General features: G+C 44.9%; 1 protein-coding gene across 4 annotated transcripts, besides 7 other annotated features; it reads right to left on the minus strand.

Moving 5' to 3' along the window:
- Positions 1–19: 19 nt before the first annotated feature.
- LOC124902766 (endogenous retrovirus group K member 7 Env polyprotein-like) lies at positions 20–20,096 on the minus strand. 4 transcript variants are annotated; one of them, XR_007062912.1, is made up of 3 exons: positions 14,379–20,036; positions 10,877–12,759; positions 21–1,403 (listed from the first exon to the last, which is right to left on the minus strand). XR_007062912.1 is itself a non-coding variant. In XM_047428000.1 (2 exons), the coding sequence occupies exon 1, from the start codon at positions 14,130–14,132 to the stop codon at positions 13,065–13,067; it is 1,068 nt and encodes a 355-aa protein (XP_047283956.1). In that variant the 5' UTR covers positions 14,133–14,215; the 3' UTR covers positions 20–1,406; positions 10,877–13,064. The 4 variants fall into 4 exon arrangements, 2 of the variants coding, with proteins under 2 accessions (XP_047283956.1, XP_047283957.1); XM_047428000.1 differs by lacking the exon at positions 14,379–20,036 and having other exon boundaries at positions 20–1,406; positions 10,877–14,215; XM_047428001.1 differs by lacking the exon at positions 14,379–20,036 and having other exon boundaries at positions 10,877–14,215.
- Positions 6,280–7,085: an enhancer, noted in NCBI's record as "OCT4-NANOG-H3K27ac-H3K4me1 hESC enhancer chr11:118586305-118587110 (GRCh37/hg19 assembly coordinates)". NCBI's record gives its function as "activates a minimal SCP1, AML or CMV promoter by ChIP-STARR-seq in naive H9 embryonic stem cells {active_cell/tissue: H9 hESC(naive)}" and the evidence as "EXISTENCE:reporter gene assay evidence [ECO:0000049][PMID:30033119]".
- Positions 7,086–7,893: an enhancer, noted in NCBI's record as "OCT4-NANOG-H3K27ac-H3K4me1 hESC enhancer chr11:118587111-118587918 (GRCh37/hg19 assembly coordinates)". NCBI's record gives its function as "activates a minimal SCP1, AML or CMV promoter by ChIP-STARR-seq in primed H9 embryonic stem cells {active_cell/tissue: H9 hESC(primed)}" and the evidence as "EXISTENCE:reporter gene assay evidence [ECO:0000049][PMID:30033119]".
- Positions 7,894–8,699: an enhancer, noted in NCBI's record as "OCT4-NANOG-H3K27ac hESC enhancer chr11:118587919-118588724 (GRCh37/hg19 assembly coordinates)". NCBI's record gives its function as "activates a minimal SCP1, AML or CMV promoter by ChIP-STARR-seq in naive and primed H9 embryonic stem cells {active_cell/tissue: H9 hESC(naive and primed)}" and the evidence as "EXISTENCE:reporter gene assay evidence [ECO:0000049][PMID:30033119]".
- Positions 9,508–10,313: an enhancer, noted in NCBI's record as "NANOG-H3K27ac-H3K4me1 hESC enhancer chr11:118589533-118590338 (GRCh37/hg19 assembly coordinates)". NCBI's record gives its function as "activates a minimal SCP1, AML or CMV promoter by ChIP-STARR-seq in primed H9 embryonic stem cells {active_cell/tissue: H9 hESC(primed)}" and the evidence as "EXISTENCE:reporter gene assay evidence [ECO:0000049][PMID:30033119]".
- Positions 10,352–11,093: an enhancer, noted in NCBI's record as "H3K27ac hESC enhancer chr11:118590377-118591118 (GRCh37/hg19 assembly coordinates)". NCBI's record gives its function as "activates a minimal SCP1, AML or CMV promoter by ChIP-STARR-seq in naive H9 embryonic stem cells {active_cell/tissue: H9 hESC(naive)}" and the evidence as "EXISTENCE:reporter gene assay evidence [ECO:0000049][PMID:30033119]".
- Positions 11,834–12,574: an enhancer, noted in NCBI's record as "OCT4-NANOG-H3K27ac hESC enhancer chr11:118591859-118592599 (GRCh37/hg19 assembly coordinates)". NCBI's record gives its function as "activates a minimal SCP1, AML or CMV promoter by ChIP-STARR-seq in naive H9 embryonic stem cells {active_cell/tissue: H9 hESC(naive)}" and the evidence as "EXISTENCE:reporter gene assay evidence [ECO:0000049][PMID:30033119]".
- Positions 17,085–17,586: an enhancer, noted in NCBI's record as "NANOG hESC enhancer chr11:118597110-118597611 (GRCh37/hg19 assembly coordinates)". NCBI's record gives its function as "activates a minimal SCP1, AML or CMV promoter by ChIP-STARR-seq in primed H9 embryonic stem cells {active_cell/tissue: H9 hESC(primed)}" and the evidence as "EXISTENCE:reporter gene assay evidence [ECO:0000049][PMID:30033119]".
- Positions 20,097–21,745: the final 1,649 nt, after the last annotated feature.

A 21,745-nucleotide genomic window follows, 5' to 3' on the forward strand; every position in this document is an offset into this window, starting at 1 on the left:
AAAAAATTTTTTAGTTGGGCTTTATTTTTTTTTTAATATTTTTCATTTTTCGAGATGGAGTTTTGCTCTTGTTGCCCAGGCTGGAGTGCAGTGGCACGATCTTGGCTTGCCACAACCTCTGCCTCCCAGGTTCGAGGGATTCTCCTGCCTCAGCCTCCCGAGTAGCTGAAATTAGAGGCATGTGCCACCATGCCCGGCTAATTTTGTATTTTTAGTAGAGATGAGGTTTCTCCATGTTGGTCAGGCTGGTCTTGAACTCCTGACCTCAGGTGATCCGCCCACCTCGGCCTCCCAAAGTGATGGGATAACAGGCATGAACCACCGTGCCCCACCTGGACTTTATTTTTTATTATTTATTGATTTTTTGGAGACAGAGTCTTGCTATGTCGCTCAGGCTGGAGTGCAATGGCAGCACTGCCTCCTGGGTTCAAGAGATTCTCACCTCTCAGCCTCCCGAGTAGCTGGGACTGCAGGGGCACACCACCAAGCCTGGCTAATTTTTGTACTTTTTTTTTTTTGAGACGGAGTTTCACTCTTGTTGCCCAAGCTGGTAGTGTAATGGCACTATCTTGGCTCATTGCAACCTCCGCCTCCTTGGTTCAAGCGATCCTCCTGCCTCAGCCTCCCGAGTAGCTGGGATTACAGGCATGTGCCACCATACCCGGCTAATTTTGTATTTTTAGTAGAGACGGGGTTTCTCCATGTTGGTCAGGCTGGTCTTGAACTCCTGACCTCGTGATCCACCTGCCTCAGCCTCCCAAAGTGCTGGGATTACAGGCGTGAGCCATGGCACCCGGCCTTTTGTACTTTTTTAGTAGAGATGGGGTTTCACTGTTGTTGGCCAGTCTCTCTCAAACTCCTGACCTCAAGTGATCTGCCCACCTCAGCCTCCCAAAATGCTGGGATTACAGGTATGAACCACTGAACCCAGCCCCCCGACTTTATTTTTGAGACAGGATCTCACTCTGTCGTCCAGGCTAGAGTGCAGTGGTGTGATCTCGGCTCACTGCAACCTCCACCTCCCAGTTCAAGCAATTCTTCCGCCTCAGCCTCCCGAGTAGCTGGGACTACAGATGCACACCACCACACCAGGCTAATTTTTTTGTATTTTTTGGTAGAGGCAGGGTTTCCCCGTGTTGGCTAGGTTGGTCTCAAACTCCTGGCCTCACGTGATCCACCTGTCTCGGCCTCCCAAAGTGCTGGGATTATAGGCGTGAGCCACAGCACCTGACCAGACTTTATTTTTTTATTATTATTTTTAGAGATGGTGTCTCACCTTGTTGCCCAGGCTAGAGTGCAGTGGCATGATCCTAGTTCACTGCAGCCCCGACTTCCTGGGGTCAGGTGATTGTTTCATCTCGGCCTCCTGAGTAGCTGGGGCAACAGGTCCATACCACCATATCCTGCTAATTAAAAAAAATTTTTTTTAGCAACAGTCTCACTATGTTGCTCAGGCTGGTCTCCAACTCCTGGCCTCAAGTGATCCTTCTGCCTCAGCCTCCCAAGTTGCTGGGATCATAGGCATGAACTACCATGCTGGGCTAGTTGGACTTTATTGAAATATAATGTTACACAAAATAAATTGCACAAGATTGAGGCATATTAATGGCAATCCCTGCCTCTTTCCACTCTCTATTACCTTCTCTCTCATCTTTCCTTAAGGCACTAGAATGGTTGTAGTTATTTTGGGGGACCATCTAAAGGAAAATTGAGGTGGAGATACATCTGTTTGGGTTTATTGAGTTTTGTTTGTTTGTTTGTTTGTTTGGAGATGGAGTCGCCCAGGCTGGAGTGCAGTGGTGCGATCTCGGCTCACTGCAACCTCTGCCTCCCAGGTTCAAGCAACTCTCCTGCCTCAGTCTCTCATGTGGTACATTTTTTGTATTTTAGTAGAGACGGGGTTTCTCTGTGTTGCCTAGGCTGGTCTCAAACTCCTGACCTCAGGCAATTCGCCCGCCTCGGCCTCCCAAAGTGCTAGGATTACAGGTTTGAGCCACTGCGCCCGGCGGAGATATGTTTATGTAGATATTTGTATGAAGTTCACAGTCACTGCTGTGTGTAGTTAAGTAATTGGTAACAATTCTGGTATAGAAATGGCTTCCAAAAATACTCTACACAGTAGGCACACCTACTGTGCCTATCATCCAGTACTGCAACATGAATGCAGGTTATAAGTAGTCTTCAAATATGAACCTGGCTTACAGTCCCTGGCACTGAAAATACAGGTAATGGAAGGGAACCAAGCTTTGAAACGTATGGAGCCATAAGTTAAACTATAGAAGATGCTTCCAAATATTATGGGGTTCACACCTGTAATCGCAGCACTTTGGGAGGCTGAGACGGGAGGATCACTTGAGCCCAGGGTTCAAGACCAGCCTGAGCAACATGGCAAGACCCTGTCTCTATATTAAGAAAAAATTTAAAGCTGGGGGTGGTGGCTCATGCCTGTAATCCCAGCACTTTGGGAAGCCAAGGCAGGTGGATCACCTGAGGTCGGGAGTTTGAGACCAGCCTAACCAGCATGGAGAAACCCTGTCTCTACTAACAATACAAAATTAGCCAGGCATGGTGGCACACGCCTGTAATCCCAGCTACTCGGGAGGCTGAGGCAGGAGAATTGCTTGAACCCGGGAGGCAGAGGTTGCTGTGAGTCGAGATTGTGCTGTTACACTCCAGCCTGGGCAACAAGAGCAAAACTCCATCTCCAATTAAATAAATAAATAAATTTAAAAATTAAAACAGCAACAACAACAAAAAACAAATCTTACAGCTCATATATGAAAGAAACCTGATCAAGATTTCCCCAACATTGACAACAACTCTAAAATTGCACTTTTCCAATAATGTGTTAGAAGCTGAAACTTTTCTAGACTATAACTTTAAAACAACAATTTTTTTTAATAAAAAAAATTTTTTTGAAACAAGGTCTCACTCTGTCACCCAGGCTGGAGTGCAATGGCGCGATTACACCTCACTGCAGCCTAGACCTCCCTAGGGGGCTCAAGGGATCCTCCCACCTCAGCCTCCCCAGCAGGTGTGCACCACCACACCCAGCTAATTTTTATAGAGACAGGGTTTCACAATGTTGCCCAGGCTGGTCTCCAACTCCTGAGCAATCTTCCTGCCTCAGCCACCCAAAGTGAGCCACTGCGCCCAGCATTTTTTTTTTTTTTTTTTTTTTTTTTTGAGACGGGGTCTCTCTGTTGCCCTGGCTGGAATGTAGTGGTGTGATCTCGGCTCACTGCAGCCTCCAACTCCCAGGCTCAAGTGATCCTGTTACCAGAAAGGGGTCCCAAACCAGATCCAAAGAGAGGGTCCTTGGATCACGAGCAAGAAAGAATTTGAGGCAAATCCATAGAGTAAAGTGAGAGCAAGTTTATTAAGAAAGTAAAGGAATAAAAAATGGCTATTCCATAGGCAGAGCAGCAAGCAGCATGAACTTATTACTTCTTGATTATATGCTAGACAAGGAATAGATTATTCATGAGTTTTCGGGGAAAGGGGTGGGCAATTCCCGGAACTGAGGGTTCCTCCCTCTTTTTAAACCATATAGGGTAACTTCCTCACGTTGCTACGGCATTTGTAAACTGCCATGGTGTTGGTGGGAGTGTATATATGCTAATACATACATACATATAATTAGCATATAATGAGCATGAGGATGACCAAAGGTCACTTCCATCGCCGTTTGGTTTTGGTGGGTTTTGGTTGGCTTCTTTACTGAAACTGTTTTATTAGCAAGGTCTTTGTGACCTGTATCTTGTCTGACCTCCTGTTTTATCCTGTAACTAAGAATGCCTGGGGCTGGACGCGGTGGCTCACGCCTGTAATCCCAGCACTTTGGGAGGCCGAGGTAGGCGGATCACGAGGTCAGGAGTTCAAGACCAGCCTGGCCAACATGGTGAAATTCTGTCTCTACTAAAAATACAAAAATTAGCCAGGCATAGTGGCAGGCATCTGTAATCCCAGCTACTCAGGAGGCTGAGGCAGGAGACTCACTTGAACCCGGGAGGTGGAGGTGCAGTGAGCCGAGATCGTGCCACTGCACTCCAGCCTGGGCAACAAGAGCAAGACTCTGTCTCAAAAAAAAAGGAATGACTGAACCTCCTGAGAATGAAGCCCAGTAGGTTTCATTTTACCCAGCCCCTATTCAAAATGGAGTCTAGGCCAGGCGTGCTGGCTCACACCTGTAATCCCAGCACTTTGGGAGGCTGAGGCAGGCGGATCACAAGGTAAGGAGTTTGAGACCAGCCTGGCCAATATGGTGAAACCCCGTCTCTACTAAGAAATACAAAAATTAGCCAGACATGGTGGTGCACACCTGTATTCCCAGCTACTCAGGAAGCTGAGGCAGGAGAATTGCTGGAACCCAGGAGGCAGAGGTTGCAGTGAGCCAAGATCACACCACTGGACTCCAGCCTGGGCAACAGAGTGAGACTCCATCTCAAGAACAAAAAAACAACAAAAAAACCTCAAATGGAATCTAAAGTTCAAACGCCTCTGACATCTTAGGAAGCCGAAGCAGGAGGATCACTTGAGCCCAGGAGTTTGAGAAAAGCCTGGACAACATAGTGAGACACTGTCTCTATAAAAAAAAATTTTTTAATTGGCCAACCATGGTGTTGCACACTGGTAATCCCAGCTACTCAGGAGGCTGAGGCGGGAGGACCACTTGAGCCCAGCAGGTTGAGGCTGCAGTGAGCTATGACTGCACCATTGCACTCTAGCCTGGGCGACAGAGCAAGACCTCATCTCTCTAAAAAAGAGAAAATAAATAAATAGTATTTGCTTTATTTACAACTGTTTATTTGTCATTTTGGGTTATTTTATTAAAAAATGGTACCTCAAATTGTATTAGTCTCAGGGCCTTGTGAACCCAAAAGTATCTGAGACAGGTCTCAATCGATTTTGAAAGTTTATTTTGCTGCTGGGCGTGGTGGCTCACGCCTGTAATCCCAGCACTTTGGGAGGCCGAGGTGGGCAGATTACAAGGTCAAGAGATTGAGACCATCCTGGCCAACATGGTGAAACCTCGTCTCTACTAAAAATACAAAAAATAAACTGGGCGTGGTGGTGCGTGCCTGTAGTCCCAGCTTCTCAGGAGGCTGAGGCAGGAGAATTGCTTGAACCCAGGAGGCAGAGGTTGCAGTGAGCTGAGATCACACCACTGCACTCCAGCCTGGTGACAGAGCAAGACTTCGTCTGAAAAAAAAAAAAAAGTTTATTTTGCAAAGGTTAAGCAGGGCCCATGGCACAGTCTCAGGAGGCCCTGATGACATGTGCCCAGGGTGGTCAGAATACAGCTGAAGTGGGCGGATCACCTGAGGTCAGGAGTCCAAGACCAGCCTGACCAACATGGAGAAACCCTGTCTCTACTAAAAATACAAAATTAGCCGGGCATGGTGACACATGCCTGTAATCCCAGCTACTCAGGAGGCTGAGGCAGAAGAATCGCTTGAACCCAGGAGGCAGAGGTTGTGGTGAGCCGAGATCACACCATTGCACTCCAGCCTGGGCAACAACAGCAAAACTCTGTCTCCAAAAAAAAAAAAAAAAAAAAAAAAAAAAACAGTTATCAGTAAAAAAGGAATGTCTGGGTTATGATAAGTGGATGTGGAGATCAAGGTTTTATCATGTAAATGAAGCCTCCATGTAGCAGGCTTCAGAGAGAATAGATTGTAAATGTTTCTTATCAGAGGTAAGGTTTGTGTTGATGTTGATGCTGGAGGGATAATGAGGCATGTCCAACCTCCTTTTCTATCATGGCCTGAACTAGTTTTTCAGGTTAACTTTGGAATGTCTTTGGCCAAGAGGAGGGGTCCATTCAGATGATTAGGGGGGCCTTAGAATTTTATTTTTTATTTACAGCCCCCAAACCCACATCTGCCCCTGCACACAGTGACTGCCCCCGTTACCCTGGGGAATGGCTGCAGATCCCTCTGTGCATATGGGGTGGGAGGGTGAGGGCGTGGGGAAGAGTCACAGGTTACCTGTGGCACATTGCAGGGTCCTTCCCAAAGGGGCCTGGCCTGTCTCAGGCCACAGGCCCTGGATCCCTGCACTAGCTTAGCTCTGAGGCCTGTGTAAAAGGTTGTGAAACCACACTGCAGTGACTTGATTTTCAGGGTTGCCCCATCTTTTGGCTTCCCTGGGCTGCTCTGGAAGAAGAATTGCCTTGGGCTGCACATAAAATACACTAACGATAGCTGATGAGCTAAAAAAAAAAAAAAAATCACAAAAAAATCTCATGATGTTTTAAGAAAGTTTGAGAATTTGCATTGGGCCGCATTCAAGGCTGTCTCGGGACACATGCACTCTGTGGGCTGTGGGTTGGACAAGCTTGATTTAGGTTTTGTTCCACCAGACTGGAGTGTTTCATCCTGCCTGTGTCTAGCAGCATGTTAGAAGGCTGCATTCTCTTAGCAGAGACCCTGTGATTGAGACAGAGCAGGATTCCTCCTTAGAGGCCTGTGGCTGCTCCCCCGACCACCCCAGCATGGAAATAAAACAAAAACCTTGAGTTCCTTCCTTCAAGGGAAATTCCAGGCACCTAGCTGACCTTGAGAAGTAAATGAGCAACTTGATAAGCCAGAAAGTGTGAAAGGAAGAATAAAATCTTGGGAGCCCAAATTCACTATGCCAAAAAGGAAAAGTTAAGTGTGGAAGCTGAGTCACGGGAGGGGGCGGGAACAAGTGCCTTTCCTTTTGTTTCTAAACTGATAGCTGCAGATGGAAGGCCACAGGTGGCCTCCTTCACCCTGACAATGTAAATTAACAGCTTATCTTTGCAGGCGGGGGATGAGGGTAGGTAAGGGACAAGAGGAGACTAGAAATCATCGTCCCCACCCACTCCAAGATAAATGCATATTTGACTGTTTCCTGTACTCTGTTTATTTTGTCTTATGTAAAGTGCCAATTTACCATGTGAGATGAATACAGAATTGACTGTTCCTTTTACCCCCCGCCCCCACCCCCTTTTTTTTTTTTCTTTTTTTGAGACGGAGTCTTGTTCTGTCACCCAGGCTGGAGTGCAGTGGTGTGATCTTGGCTCACTGCAACTTCTGCCTCCCGGGTTCAAGCGATTCTCCTGCCTCAGCCTCCCCAGTAGCTGGGATTACAGGCGTGCATCACCACGCCTGGCTAATTTTTGTATTTTTATTAGAGATGGGGTTTCGCCTTGTTGGCCAGGCTGGTCTCAAACTCCTGACCTCAGGTGATCCTCCCACCTCGGCCTCCCAAAGTGCTGGGATTACAGGCGTGAGCCACCGTGCCCGGCCTTCTACTCCCTTTTTTTCCTGTGCAACATGTGGATTCAGTGAGCTTAAACAAAGCCGCAAAACAAAGTGACCATATCCTCCCTCTTTTTTTTTTTTTTAATGTTCCCTTTCCCCTCCTGCCTGCTTTTTCCCCTTTACTTTTTATTTTTATTTTTTGAGATGGCGTCTCTCTCTGTCACCCAGGCTGGAGTGCAATAGCGTGATCTTGGCTCACTGCAACCTCCGCCTCCCAGGTTCAAGCGATTCTCCTGCCTCAGCTTCCTGAGTAGCTGGGATTACAGGTGCATGCCACCACACTCGGCTAATTTTTGTATTTTTAGTAGAGACAGGGTTTCACCATGTTGGTCAGGCTAGTCTCAAACTCCTGACTTTGTGATCCAGCTGCCTCGGCCTCCCAAAGTGCTGGGATTACAGGCCTGAGCCACTGTGCCCGGCCACTTTCATGCACGTCCGTGTAAAGAGACCACCAAACAGGCTTTGTGTGAGCAATAAAGCTTTTAATCACTTGGGTGCAGGCAGGCTGAGTCCAAAAAGAGAGTCAGTGAAGAGAGATAGGGGTGGGGCCATTTTATAAGATTTGGGTAGATAAAGGAAAATTACAGTCAAAGGGGGTTGTTCTCTGGCAGGCAGGAGTGGGGGTCACAAGGTGCTCAGTGGGGGAGCTTTTGAGCCAGGATGAGCCAGGAGAAGGAATTTCACAAGACAATGTCATCAGTTAAGGCAGGAACGGGCCATTTTCACTTCTTTTGTGGTGGATTGTCATCAGTTAAGGCAGCAACCAGCCATCTGGATGTGTACGTGCAGGTCACAGGGGATATGATGGCTTAGCTTGGGCCCAGAGGGCTGACATTCCTGTCTTCTTATATTAATAAGAAAAATAAAATGAAATAGTGGTAAAGTGTTGGGATGGCGAAAATTTTGGGGGATGGTATGGAGAGATAATGGGGGATGTTTCTCAGGGCTGCTTCGAGCGGGATTAGGGGTGGCGTGGGAACCTAGAGTGGGAGAGATTAAGCTGAAGGAAGATTTTGTGGTAAGGGGTGATATTGTGGGGTTGTTAGAAGAAACATTTGTCATTTAGAATTATTGGTGATGGCCTGGATACAGTTTTGTATGAATTGAAAAACTAAATGGAATAAGAGAAGGAGAAAAACAGGTATAAAAGGTCTAAGAATTGGGACGACTCAGGACATCTGATTAGAGAGTGCCTAAGGAGATTCAGCATAGTCCTGCCAGCAAAGATTATTTATTTACTTCAAGAGGTAAGAGTGGCAGTTTGGGGATAGCACCAGGAGATATCAGCTGTGATGGCTTAGAGAAACAGTGTAAACCGGCAGTGTAAACAAGAGCAGAGCATGTATGAGTAGTTGAGAACGGTGAATAGGAGTATGACTAGACAGAAGATAGTAGGGATGACAAGTTTTTTTGGGGGCACGGTGGAAGTTGGTCTGATGTCTGGAATGAGACTGGGGCCTAATAAAAAGGAGCATCTATACAGGAGCTCAAATGGGCTGTACCTTGTAGCATTCTGAGGACATGTCTGACTTCTGAGAAGGGAAAGTGGTAAAAGTATTGTCCAGTCCTTTTTAAGTTGGTGGCTGAGCTTGGTGAGGTGTGTTTTTAAAAGACCTTTAGTCCGTTCTACTTTTCCTGAAGACACAGGACAGTAAGGGATATAAAGGTTTCACTGAATACTAAGAGCCTGAAAACCTGCTTGGCTGATTTGACTAATAAAGGCTGGTCTGTTAACAGACTGTATAGAGGTGGGAAGACTAAACTGAGGAATTATGTCTGACAGAAGGGAAGAAATGACTGCGGTGGCCTTCTCAGACCCTGTAGGAAAGGTCTGTACCTATTCAGTGAAAGTGTCTACCTAGACTAAGAGGTATTTTAGTTATCTGACTCGGGGCATGTTGAGTAAAGCTAATTTGCCAGTCCTGGGTGGGGGCAAATCCTCGAGCTTGATGTGTAGGGAAGGGAGGGGGCCTGAATAATCCCTGAGGGATAGTAGAATAGCAGATGGAACACTGAGAAGTTATTTCCTTGAGGATAGATTTCCACGATGGAAAGGAAATGGGAGGTTCTAAGAGGCCGGCTAGTGGCTTGTACTATAGCATAACCTGCCTTTGCTGGTGTGTGGCGATTAGGCCTGGTGGAAACCACCATCAATAAATCAAGCGTGATCAGGGTGAGGAACAGGAAAGAAGGAAATATGGGGAAATTGGGTGAATGTCAGGTGGATCAGAGAGATACAGTCATGGGGGTCAGGTGTGGTATCAGGAATAATGTGGGAGGCCGGATTGAAGTCCGGGCCAGGAACAATGGTAATTGTGGGACTTAACAACGAGTGAGTACAGCTGAAGGAGCCAGGGAGCAGAAAGTATATGCGTCAGGTATGAGGAAGAAAATAGATTTTGGAAGTTATGAGAAATGTAGAGAGTAAGTTGAGCATAGTTTGTGATTTTGAGGGCCTCTAAAAGTATTAGGGCGGCAGCAGCCGCTGCACGGAGACATGAGGGCTAGGCTAAAACAGTAAGGTCAAGTTGTTTGCACAGAAAGGCTACAGGGTGCGGTCCTGGCTCTTGTGTAAGAATTCTGACCGCACTAACCATGCCTAGGAAGGAAAGGAGTTGTTGTTTTGTAAGGGATTGAGGTTTGGGAGATTAATCAGACATGATTAACAGGGAGAGCACGTGTGTTTTTATGAGAATTATGCCGAGATAGGTAACAGATGAGGATGAAATTTGGGCTTGACTGAAGTAATGGGGGCTGTCTGTGAAGCCTTGTGGCAGTACAGCCCAGGTAATTTGCTGAGCCTGATGGGTGTCAGAGTCAGTCCAAGTGAAGCGAAGAGAGGCTGGGATGACGGGTGCAAAGGAATAGTAAAGAAAGCACGTTTGAGATCCAGTACAGAGTAATGGATTGTGGAGAGAGGTATTGAGGATAGGAGAGTATATGGGTTTAGCACCATGGGGTGGATAGGCAAAACAATTTGGTTGATAAGGCATAGATCCTGAACTAACTTGTAAGGCTTGTCTGGTTTTAGGACAGGTAAAATGGGGGAATTGTAAGGAGAGTTTATAGGCTTTAGAAGGCCATGCTGTAGCAGGCGAGTGATAACAGGCTTTAATCCTTTCAAAGCATGCTGTGGGATGGGATATTGGCATTGAGCCGTGTGAGGGTGATTAGGTTTTAATGAGATGGTAAGGGGTGCATGATTGGTCACCAAGGAGGGAGTAGAGGTATCTTATACTTGTGGGTTAAGGTGGGGGAATACAAGAGGAGGACGCAAAGGAGGCTTTGGATTGGGAAGAAGGGCAGCAATAAGATGCAGCTGTAATCCAGGAATAGTCAGGGAAGCAGATCATTTAGTTAAAGTGTCTCAGCCTAATAAGGGAACTGGGCAGGTGGGGATAACTAAAAGGAGTGCTCAAAAGAGTATTGTCTAAATTGGCAGCAGGGTTGGGGAGTTTTAAGAGGTTTAGAAGTCTGGCTGTCAATACGCACAGCAGTTATGGAGGCAAGGGAAACAGGCCTTTGAAAAGTAGGTAATGTGGAGTGGGTAGCCTCCGTATTGACTAAGAAGGGGAAGGACTTACCCTCCACTGTGAGATTACTTAAAGCTCGGCATCCGCGATGGTCTACGGGGCTTCCAAGGCGATCAGGCAGCATCAGTCTTCAGCTGCTAAGCCGAGAAGGAGTCAGTCAGAGAGCCTTGGGCCAGAATTCCAGGGGTTCTGGGAGTGGCTGCCAGGTGAGTTGAACAGTCCGATTTCCAGTGGGGTCCCGCGCAGATGGGACACGGCTTAGGAGGAATCCTGGGCTGCAGGCATTCCTCGGCCTGGTGGTCAGATTTCTGGCACTTGTAGCAAGTTCCTGGGGGAGGAGGTTCTGGAGGAACGCCTGGCCACTGCGGTTTAGGCGTTTGGAAGTTCTTGTGGGCTGGAGATGTGGCTGGGGTTTGTCTCACAGTAAAGGCAAGGAATTGCGACTTTTTTCTATTATTGTACACCTTGAAGGTGAGGTTAATTAAATCCTGTTGTGGGGTTTGAGGGCTGGAATTTAATTTTTGGAGTTTTATTTAATGTCGGGAGCAGATTGAGTAATAAAATGTATATTGAGAATAATACAGCCTTTTGACCTTTTAGGTCTAGGGCTGTAAAGCATCTCAGGGTTGCTGCCGAACGAGCCATGAACTGGGCTGGGTTTTTTATATTTGATGAAAAAGAGCCTAAACGCTATCTGATTTGGGATAAAGAAAAAGGAGCATTAACCTTGACTATGCCTTTAGCTCCAGCCACCTTTTTAAGAGTAAATTGCTGGGCAGGTGGGGGAGGGCTAGTCACGGAATGAAACTGTAAGCCGGACGGGTGTGTGGAGGGGAGGTGATAAAAGAATTATAGGGTGGAGGAGCAGAGGCTTGAAGGGGTGGGTTGCCCCTCCACACCTGTGGGTGTTTCTCGTAAGGTGGAACGAGAGACTTGGAAAAGAAAAAGACACAGAGACAAAGTATAGAGAAAGAAATAAGGGGACCCGGGGAACCAGCGTTCAGCATATGGAGGATCCCGCCAGCCTCTGAGTTCCCTTAGTATTTATTGATCATTCGTGGGTGTTTCTCCGAGAGGGGGATGTGTCAGGGTCACAAGACAATAGTGGGGAGAGGGTCAGCAGACAAACACGTGAACAAAGGTCTTTGCATCATAGACGAGGTAAAGGATTAAGTGCTGTGCTCTTAGATATGCATACACATAAACATCTCAATGCTTTACAAAGCAGTATTGCTGCCCGCATGTCCCACCTCCAGCCCTAAGGCGTTTTTCCCTATCTCAGTAGATGGAACGTACAATCGGGTTTTATACCGAGACATTCCATTGTCCAGGGACGGGCAGGAGACAGACGCCTTCCTCTTGTCTCAACTGCAAGAGGCATGCCTTCCTCTTATACTAATCCTCCTCACACAGACCCTTTATGGGTGTCGGGCTGGGGGACGGTCAGGTCTTTCCCTTCCCACGAGGCCATATTTCAGACTATCACATGGGGAGAAACCTTGGACAATACCTGGCTTTCCTAGGCAGAGGTCCCTGCGGCCTTCCGCAGTGTTTGTGTCCCTGGGTACTTGAGATTAGGGAGTGGTGATGACTCTTAAAGAGCATGCTGCCTTCAAGCATTTGTTTAACAAAGCACATCTTGCACAACCCTTAATCCATTTAACCCTGAGTTTGACACAGCACATGTTTCAGAGAGCACGGGGTTGGGGGTAAGGTCATAGATTAACAGCATCTCAAGGCAGAAGAATTTTTCTTAGTACAGAACAAAATGGAGTCTCCTATGTCTACTTCTTTCTATACAGACACAGTAACAATCTGATCTCTCTTGCTTTTCCCCACATTTCCCCCTTTTCTTTTCGACAAAACCGCCATCGTCATCATGGCCCATTCTCGATGGTCGCTGTCTCTTCGGAGCTGTTGGGTACACCTGCAGACTAACAACAGACAAAACAGGCACACAAGGATTAATATGAGATTTATAATTGTAGTACTTCCGATGGTCTTAACCCAAGTGACAGGGTTAAGATTTGCGAGGCCATCAGCAACTCCTGCAATTGCCTCAGTTCCTGGCACCAAATTTAAATGGGCTTTTGATGCTTCAAAAATTTTTTCTTTTAATTTGGAAATGTCTAAAGTGAGATTATCTTCTCTTCCCTGTAGATGGTGTCTAACCATGTCCCAGTGATGCTCAGACTCATTATAAATTTGGGGTGTAATACAAAAGTCTGACGTATTGCAGTCACACTGTAACTGGAAACGACGTTCTAAGCTCATGAGTCTGTCTCCTATCCAAATGAGTTTGTCTAAGATGATTAATTTGATTTGCCAATTTTTGATCAATACTAGATTGTGAATTCCACAATCTTGCAGAATTCTTTTGCCAATCATTAACAAAGTTTACCGACTGAACAGAAGAGTGCAATGCAACTCCTGCCACAGCAGCCGTAGCTGTGACTGCAATTAATCCCATAATCACTGCAATTAAAGTAAAAATGAATCTTTTGGATCTATTTAAAATGCCTTTTAATACTTCAGTCAAAATATGGATGGATGGCGAGGCCTCCCACGGTCTGTCCATGGACACAGGGATCCACACGCCTTCTCTTGCTCTCACCAGCAGAATACGCTGCTGCCAATTAAAAGTTGAATCAATGCAAGTAAACAATCTACAATTTTCACAGGTTATAGTTTGGGAGTCTGGTTTAATAACTATATTTCCTACAACTAGCATATAAGGGGGCTTTACGCAACTCTGTAAAGGAACCGTTAGACTGGAATTTAGGTCGATAGTATAAAATGGCTTACGATCTCTTGTTTCTGAAGTTTGATTTCCAGACCAAATTCTAATGTGGTGTGAGGCCACAATAAGCCTCCATAATTCTGGATGTTCAGGACCAGAAACAGGACTTATTATTTTTGGTCTTGGGGTAGAGATTCCTTTTTCTCCCCATTCCCAAGGGTACAAAGACTGTAATTTTTTATGCTTATGTTTGTCTAGACTTTCTGTTAAGTCGCTATCAACAGCTGGACTCACTTGTGCACTTGGACACAACTGAGTTTGTCCTGAGCAATTGTGATCGAATTGACCTCGAGGTGCCCAATCTATAATAGTTCCGAATTCATTGTTTTGTAATATCACCGCACTATTGGCCACACATTCTTCCCAAACTAAAACTTCTGTATTTTTTGATTCTTTGGGAATTTCCTTGGGGCAAGGTTTTCCTTTAGGTCTAAATTTTAATGATCTTTGATAAGAAAAGTCCTGTAAATAATTTACTCGTGGCCTGAGTGACATCCCGCTTACCATGTGATAAGTGAATCTACCGTTAGGACTGACAGTAGGTACTTCTACCAACCAATTTTGGACTGCATGTATTAAACATCCTGGTGCTCTCCCTAGGCAAATAGGATAACGATACCCAGTGGAAATATTTATCATTATCCCTTCTTCCTCAGGTTTGATAGGGCAGCGATCGTCTGTGGGGCCAGGTACCCGTACACTATCATTAACATATACTTCTATAGGATTATCCATCCATGTGACTGGTGTTACCATCTCTGTGGAGGCCCTTTTCTTTGCATCTCCGATGGGTTCATTGTAGAACTTCAAATGTCTAGTGGGTATCCAAACAGGAAGCTGATTTTCTCCTGGTGAAACACAAGCAAACCTCTCCCCCACGTTATCACCTTCCCTATTTCCCATGTCTTATTTTTATTATCTTTCCACCAAATTAGTTTTCCTTCATGTGGGCTGTTCTTTTTACCAGTAAGATGTTGTTCTGCAGAAGTAGTAGTCTGATTTCTATAAATGTTTAAAAAAATTTAAAGTATAGAGTGCTAGATTAAGTTGCATCTGAGGAGTGGTACACTCCTTACTGTCTCCCCCTTCTTTTTGTTTAACTAATTGAGTTTTGAGTGTTCTATTAGTTCTTTCAACTATGGCCTGTCCTTGGGAATTATAAGGAATTCCTGTTGTATGTGAAATTTTCCACTGACTTAAGAATTTTTGGAAAGCTTTACTACAATATCCTGGTCCATTGTCAGTTTTGATTTTTTCTGGAACTCCCATGACAGCAAAACAAGACAATAAATGTTTTTTAACATGGGAAGTACTTTCTCCTGTTTGGCAAGCTGCCCATATGAAATGTGAAAAGTATCAACTGTTACATGAACATATGATAATCTTCCAAATGAAGGAACATGCGTGACATCCATTTGCCATAACGCATTAGGACACAGACCTCTGGGATTAACTCCTGCCTCTTGAGTGGGCAGGTGTAAGACCTGACACTGGGTGCAATGTTGTACAATATCTTTTGCCTGTTTCCATGTGACATCAAATTTGTTTTTTAATCCTGCTGCATTTGCATGAGTCAAAGCATGAAGTTCTTGTGCTTTTATGAATGCAGATGATACCAGTAAGTCAGCTTGTTCATTTGCTTTAGTCAAAGGCCCTGGTAAATTAGTGTGTGCTTGAATATGAGTAATATAAAATGGGAAATTTCTTTTTCTTACAGTTTGTTGTAATAAATTGAATAGCTGGTTTAACTGATCATCCATGCTATATTTAATTAGAGCTGTCTCAACATCCCTTGTAGCCTGTACTACATATGCAGAATCTGATATAATATAGATAGGTTGGTCAAAATCTTGTAACACTGTAATGACTGCAACCAACTCTGCTCTTTGAGCCGATTGATATGGAGTTTTGATTACTCGTTCTTTCGGCCCTGTGTAAGCCACTTTTCCATTGCTGGAACCATCAGTAAATACTGTTAGAGCATTTTCTAAAGGTTCACGTCTGCTAATTTTAGGTAGAATCCAAGTAGTCAATTTTAAGAACTGGAAGATTTTTGTTTTTGGGTAACGATTGTCAATAATTCCCACAAAATTAGCAAGACCAATCTGCCATGCACCAGAATTGATAAAGGCTTGTCTAACTTGTTCCTTTGTTAAAGGGACAACTATTTTGTCTGGGTCATTTCCACATAATTTTATTATTCATAATCTTGTCTGACCAATTAATGTAGCTATTTGATCCAAGTACAATGTAAAAGTCTTAACTGTACCGTGAGGAAGGAATGACCACTCCACAAGATCAGTATTTTGAACAATGATGCCTGTTGGAGAATGTGCAGTGGCAAAAATCAAAAGTTGGAATGGGGCTAAGGGATCTATTCTATTTATTTGCGCTGACTGAATTTTTTCTTCCACTAATTTAATTTCTTTTGTTGCCTCTGGGGTTAACATTCTTTTACTATTTAAGTCTGAGTCTCCTCTTAAGATAGAGAACAAATTTGACATGGCATAAGTAGGAATGCCTAGAGTTGGCCGAATCCAATTAATATCTCCCAGCAATTTTTGAAAATCATTTAGTGTTTTTAATGTGTCTTTCTTATTTCTATTTTTTGTGGCTTAATTTTTCTATCTGCATCCCTAAATAATGAAAAGGAGTAGAGGTTTGGATCTTATCAGATGCTATTGCCAGTCCTGCATTGGCAACCTCGGCTTGCAGAAATGTATAACAGTCAATTAATTTATCTCTCGTTTCTGCAGCACATAAAATATCATCAAAATAATGAATAATATAGCCGTCTGAAAACTTGTCTCTAACTGGTTGAAGAGCTTGACCTACAAAAGTCTGACAAATAGTTGGACTATTAAGCATTCCCTGAAGTAACACTTTCCACTGAAACCTGGTGGCTGGTTCTTTATTATTTATGGCTGGTATAGTAAAGGCAAATTTTTCGCAATCCTGCTCCACCAGAGGGATGGTAAAAAAGCAATCCTTTTGATCAATTATAATTAAAGGCCAATCTTTTGGGATCATGGCCAGAGAGGGTGACCCAGGTTGGAGAGGCCCCATGGGTTGAATTACAGCGTTTACGGCCCTCAAGTCAGTTAACATATGCCATTTGCCGGATTTCTTCTGAATTACAAACACAGGAGAATTCCAAGACGAGAATGAAGGCTCAATATGTCCCTTTTCTAACTGTTCATTTGCTAATAAATGTAAAGCCTCCAGTTTTTGTTTTGGTAGCGGCCACTGATTTACCCACACCGGTTTTTCTGTTTTCCAAGTTAATGGTATGTGTTTAGGAGGCTCTACAGTGGCCGCCCCTAACAAGGATACCCTATTCCTTCTCTTTCTTGATTTATTTTAGCCTCAACTGGAACTTTAATGCCATCTTCATTTTTCCCTAGTCCCTTTCCTGGTATATATCCCATCTTGGTCATGATTTTTTGACTCCTGGGGCTATATAATGGAGAGGGCATGGTGATTTCCACACCCCATTGTTGTAATAAATCTCGACCCCACAGATTAAGAGGAATTGAAGTAATCATGGGCTGAACAGTACTTTCTTGATTATCTGGCCCTAAGCAATGTAAAATCTCAGTACTTTGATACACTTCTGAGGCTGTGCCTATGCCGACAAATCCTGTAACAGCCTTTTGTTTAGGCCAATTTTTTGGCCACTGATTTAAAGCAATGATAGAGACATCTGCTCCAGTGTCTACCAACCCTTCAAACTGTTTTCCTTGAATAATGGCCTTACACACAGGTCTGTTCTTTGAGACCTGACTTGCCCAATATGCAGCCTTTCCTGTCAGATCAGTGCTTCCAAACCCTCCTGTTCTTTTTATTTCACTATTTCCAACCTTAATATATGGCAGGAGTAATAATCGAGCAATCCTGTCTCCTGGACTGGCACTCCAAGGAATTGAAGAGCTAATAACCAATTGAATTTCGCCTTTATAGTCTGAATCAACCACACCAGTATGAATTTGAACTCCTTTTAGATTTAGACTTGATCTTCCCAAGATTAGTCCTACAGTCCCCTCAGGCAGTGGGCCATATACCCCTGTGGGGATTTTTTGTGGGGGCTTCCCTGGAAGCAGAGAGACTGCTTGTATAGTACATAAATCTACTGCTGCACTGCCGCTTGTGGCGGGGGACAATTGTTGTATTGTGGTAACTGGCTTATTCCCTGAAACACTTGGGACAGTGGGGGTTTTTGTCCCTGAAAACCCTGAGGAACAAATGGCTGAATTGGGAATGCCCCAGTTTGTTGTGGGGCCTGAGGCTGGCCCGTTTGTTCATTTCCCGACAATGGTTGCCTGTTTTTATCAAATTTAGAATGACACTGACTAGCCCCATGTTTTCCTTTTTTACATTTTGGACATAAGTCAGGTGGCTCTCTACCTGTTGTAGTTGCTTGAATAGTTATATTCTGTTTATTTAAGACTGGCCAATTCTTTTTTAAATGACCAATTTGACCACAATTATAACATTTTCCTCCAAATGTTTTAACTTGTCCTCCTAAAACAACTCCTGTTATTGCTTGAGCCATAAGCATAGCTTTATGCATATCTCCTCCGATTCCATCACAGGCTTTTACATACTCTGAGATTACATCTGACCCTGTGGGAACCTTTCCTTTTAATGGCTTAATGGCTGATTGACACTCAGGATTGGCGTTTTCATATGCCATCAACTCCACTATGACCTTATGGGCTTTTTCGTCGGCAATTGACTTTTGAGCAACATCTTGGAGCCTTGCCACAAAATCAGGGTAGGGCTCTTTTGAACCTTGTCTTACTGTATTAAATGAGGGGCAGGCGCTTCCTGGGTCTTGGATTTTTTCCCAGGCTCTAAGGCAGATAGCTCTAACTTGCTCAATGGCCTCATTTTGCATGAATGCTTGTTGACTAATAGTACTCCAATTTTGACCTCTTCCTAATAGTTGATCTGCATCTATGTTAACTGGAGGATTGGCAGCCCTATTTCTTCGGACCTGTTCTTGTACCCCATCAATCCACCAAGTCTTAAATTGTAAAAATTGAGAGGGTGAGAGAGATGATCTTGCCAGAATCTCCCAATCATAAGGAATGAGTCTATGTCCATGAGCAATGGAATCTAATAATGTACTCATATAAGGGGAGTTGGGTCCATACTGTTTTACTCCCTCTTTCATATCTTTTAGCATTTTTATCAAAAAAGACTTGTATCTGGCCTCAACTGTGAGAGGCTCTCCCTCTTGGGCTTCTTCTCCAGGTGGCATCGGTTCTAACGTTACTGGGAATTGCCACGCCTCAGTATCTCCTTCCTTTCTTCTCAATAATTTCATGTAATTCACTACCCTGTCTACTAGGCGGTGCCGTAGGATTAAGTCTCCTAGTGGGCGGCTGAGGGTATGGCGCCCTGCCCTGTGGTGCTGGGGGCATTCCTGGATATCCATACTGACTTTCTGGGGGTGGCTGATACTGAAGTTCAGCCAGCGGCCAGTATTGATAAGCTACTGGTGGTTGGCTCTTATTTTCTCTAACCTGCGTTTGAGGTTGTAATGTTACGGGCACCTGACCTGCTGGAAGAGGACTTGGCCCTCGTGGTTTAGACTCTGATGGCCCCACTAATTCGGGACCTTTTCCTTCTAATTTTAACGTTTCAGGATATATCACCTCCTGTAATTGATTATAGTCAACATTTTGCATTGACTGAGCCATTACCGGCTCTGCTACATATTCGCAATGTAAACCTTCCGTTTCTTTCTGGGATTTTTTTCCTTGTCTTTTCATTACAATCTATTAAACAGCTTCCAGGGGCATCAGAAACTGAAACGCTATCTTCTTCTGTTTGAAATGGTTCTAAAGCTGCTTTAATAATGGCCCAATCATTCCATACTGTAAGTGGAATGATATTACCCTTCCTACTTGCTTGTTTTAGTTCCTTAACAATTCTTTTCCAATCTTTTAGATCTAAAGTTCCTTGTTCTGGAAACCATGGGCAAAATTGTTCTATTGTTTGAAATAGCTTGATTAGATTTTTTGTAGATACTTTAACTCCCCCTCTTTTTAAAAGAATTTTAATAAAGCTGAGAAAAGAGGCATATTTACTTTTAGTTTTACTTTAGTTTGCCCCATTATCACCCTAGCTTCTTCTGAGCCCACAAGCTTACCGTAAGGCTGACTGTAGACGTACTCGGGATCTCTCGTCGACTTGTCCTCAATGACCACGCTTGAGAGTACCTTCACCCTAGAGAAAAGCCTCCACGTTGGGCACCAGATGAAGGGGTGGGTTGCCCCTCCACACCTGTGGGTGTTTCTCGTAAGGTGGAACGAGAGACTTGGAAAAGAAAAAGACACAGAGACAAAGTATAGAGAAAGAAATAAGGGGACCCGGGGAACCAGCGTTCAGCATATGGAGGATCCCGCCAGCCTCTGAGTTCCCTTAGTATTTATTGATCATTCGTGGGTGTTTCTCCGAGAGGGGGATGTGTCAGGGTCACAAGACAATAGTGGGGAGAGGGTCAGCAGACAAACACGTGAACAAAGGTCTTTGCATCATAGACGAGGTAAAGGATTAAGTGCTGTGCTCTTAGATATGCATACACATAAACATCTCAATGCTTTACAAAGCAGTATTGCTGCCCGCATGTCCCACCTCCAGCCCTAAGGCGTTTTTCCCTATCTCAGTAGATGGAACGTACAATCGGGTTTTATACCGAGACATTCCATTGTCCAGGGACGGGCAGGAGACAGACGCCTTCCTCTTGTCTCAACTGCAAGAGGCATGCCTTCCTCTTATACTAATCCTCCTCAGCACAGACCCTTTACGGGTGTCGGGCAGGGGGACGGTCAGGTCTTTCCCTTCCCACGAGGCCATATTTCAGACTATCACATGGGGAGAAACCTTGGACAATACCTGGCTTTCCTAGGCAGAGGTCCCTGCGGCCTTCCGCAGTGTTTGTGTCCCTGGGTACTTGAGATTAGGGAGTGGTGATGACTCTTAAGGAGCATGCTGCCTTCAAGCATTTGTTTAACAAAGCACATCTTGCACAACCCTTAATCCATTTAACCCTGAGTTTGACACAGCACATGTTTCAGAGAGCATGGGGTTGGGGGTAAGGTCATAGATTAACAGCATCTCAAGGCAGAAGAATTTTTCTTAGTACAGAACAAAATGGAGTCTCCTATGTCTACTTCTTTCTATACAGACACAGTAACAATCTGATCTCTCTTGCTTTTCCCCACAAGGCTGAGGAAGAATTGGGACCTAGCTCAGCCTGGGGAGGAGCAGCCTGGGGAGGAGGGGAGAGGTTAGATGGGTCTGTAGAAAAGGAGGATTAGAAAGACTCAGCAACGCTTGGGGTTGGGACTGAAGGGACAGGCAGGAGGGAAAGAAGGAAGATTTGGGATGAGTTGCATTGGGAGCAGAGACTATGGAGAGACTGATGTATAAAAGAATGCCTGCACGTCAGGCACCTCAGACCATTTGCCTATTTTACGACAAGAAGTATTTAGATCTTGCAGGATGGAAAAATTGAAAGAGCCATTTTCTGGCTATTTGGAACTACTGTTGAGTTTGTATTGGGGTCAAGCAGCATTGCAGAAGAAAATAAGATGCTTAGATTTTAGGTCAGGTGAGAGTTGAAGAGGTTTTAAGTTCTTAAGAACACAGGCTAAGGGAGAAGAAGGAGGAATTGAGGGTGGAAGGTTGCCCATAGTGAAGCCTAGAGAAAAGAGAGAGTAGAGACATGAAGGGAAGGGGCTTGGGGGTTCTTACCCTCCAGAAAGCGGGAAAGGGGTCAGGGCACAGAGATATGAGGTCGGGGCGCAGAAATAAGGGATTGGGGTGCAGAGATATAAGAGGTTGGGGCATGGAAATTAGGGATCGGGGCGCAGAGATATAAGGGGTTGGGGTACTTGCCCCTCCCCCAGAAAAGTGGTACTTGCCGCTAAGGGTGAAGGAGAAGGGGTTGGGGGTTTCTTGCACCCCAGAAAGGTGGAGAAGGGGTAGAGACACGGAGAGAAGGGGTTGGGGTACTTACCCCTTCCCCAGAAAAGTGGGACTTGCCGCTAAGGGTGAAGGACCAAGGCAGGTGTCCCTGCGTGGTCTGACACCTCTGAAACATGGGTGAA

This window comes from Homo sapiens, chromosome 11 (genome assembly GCF_000001405.40).
Source record: "Homo sapiens chromosome 11, GRCh38.p14 Primary Assembly".
NCBI classification, from domain to species: Eukaryota; Metazoa; Chordata; class Mammalia; order Primates; family Hominidae; genus Homo; species Homo sapiens.

What these genes read in the sequence shown, in the direction of transcription:
- LOC124902766 (XM_047428000.1), bottom strand. Translation starts at nt 14,132, where the DNA reads ATGGTAAGCGGGATGTCACTCAGGCCACGAGTAAATTATTTACAGGAC.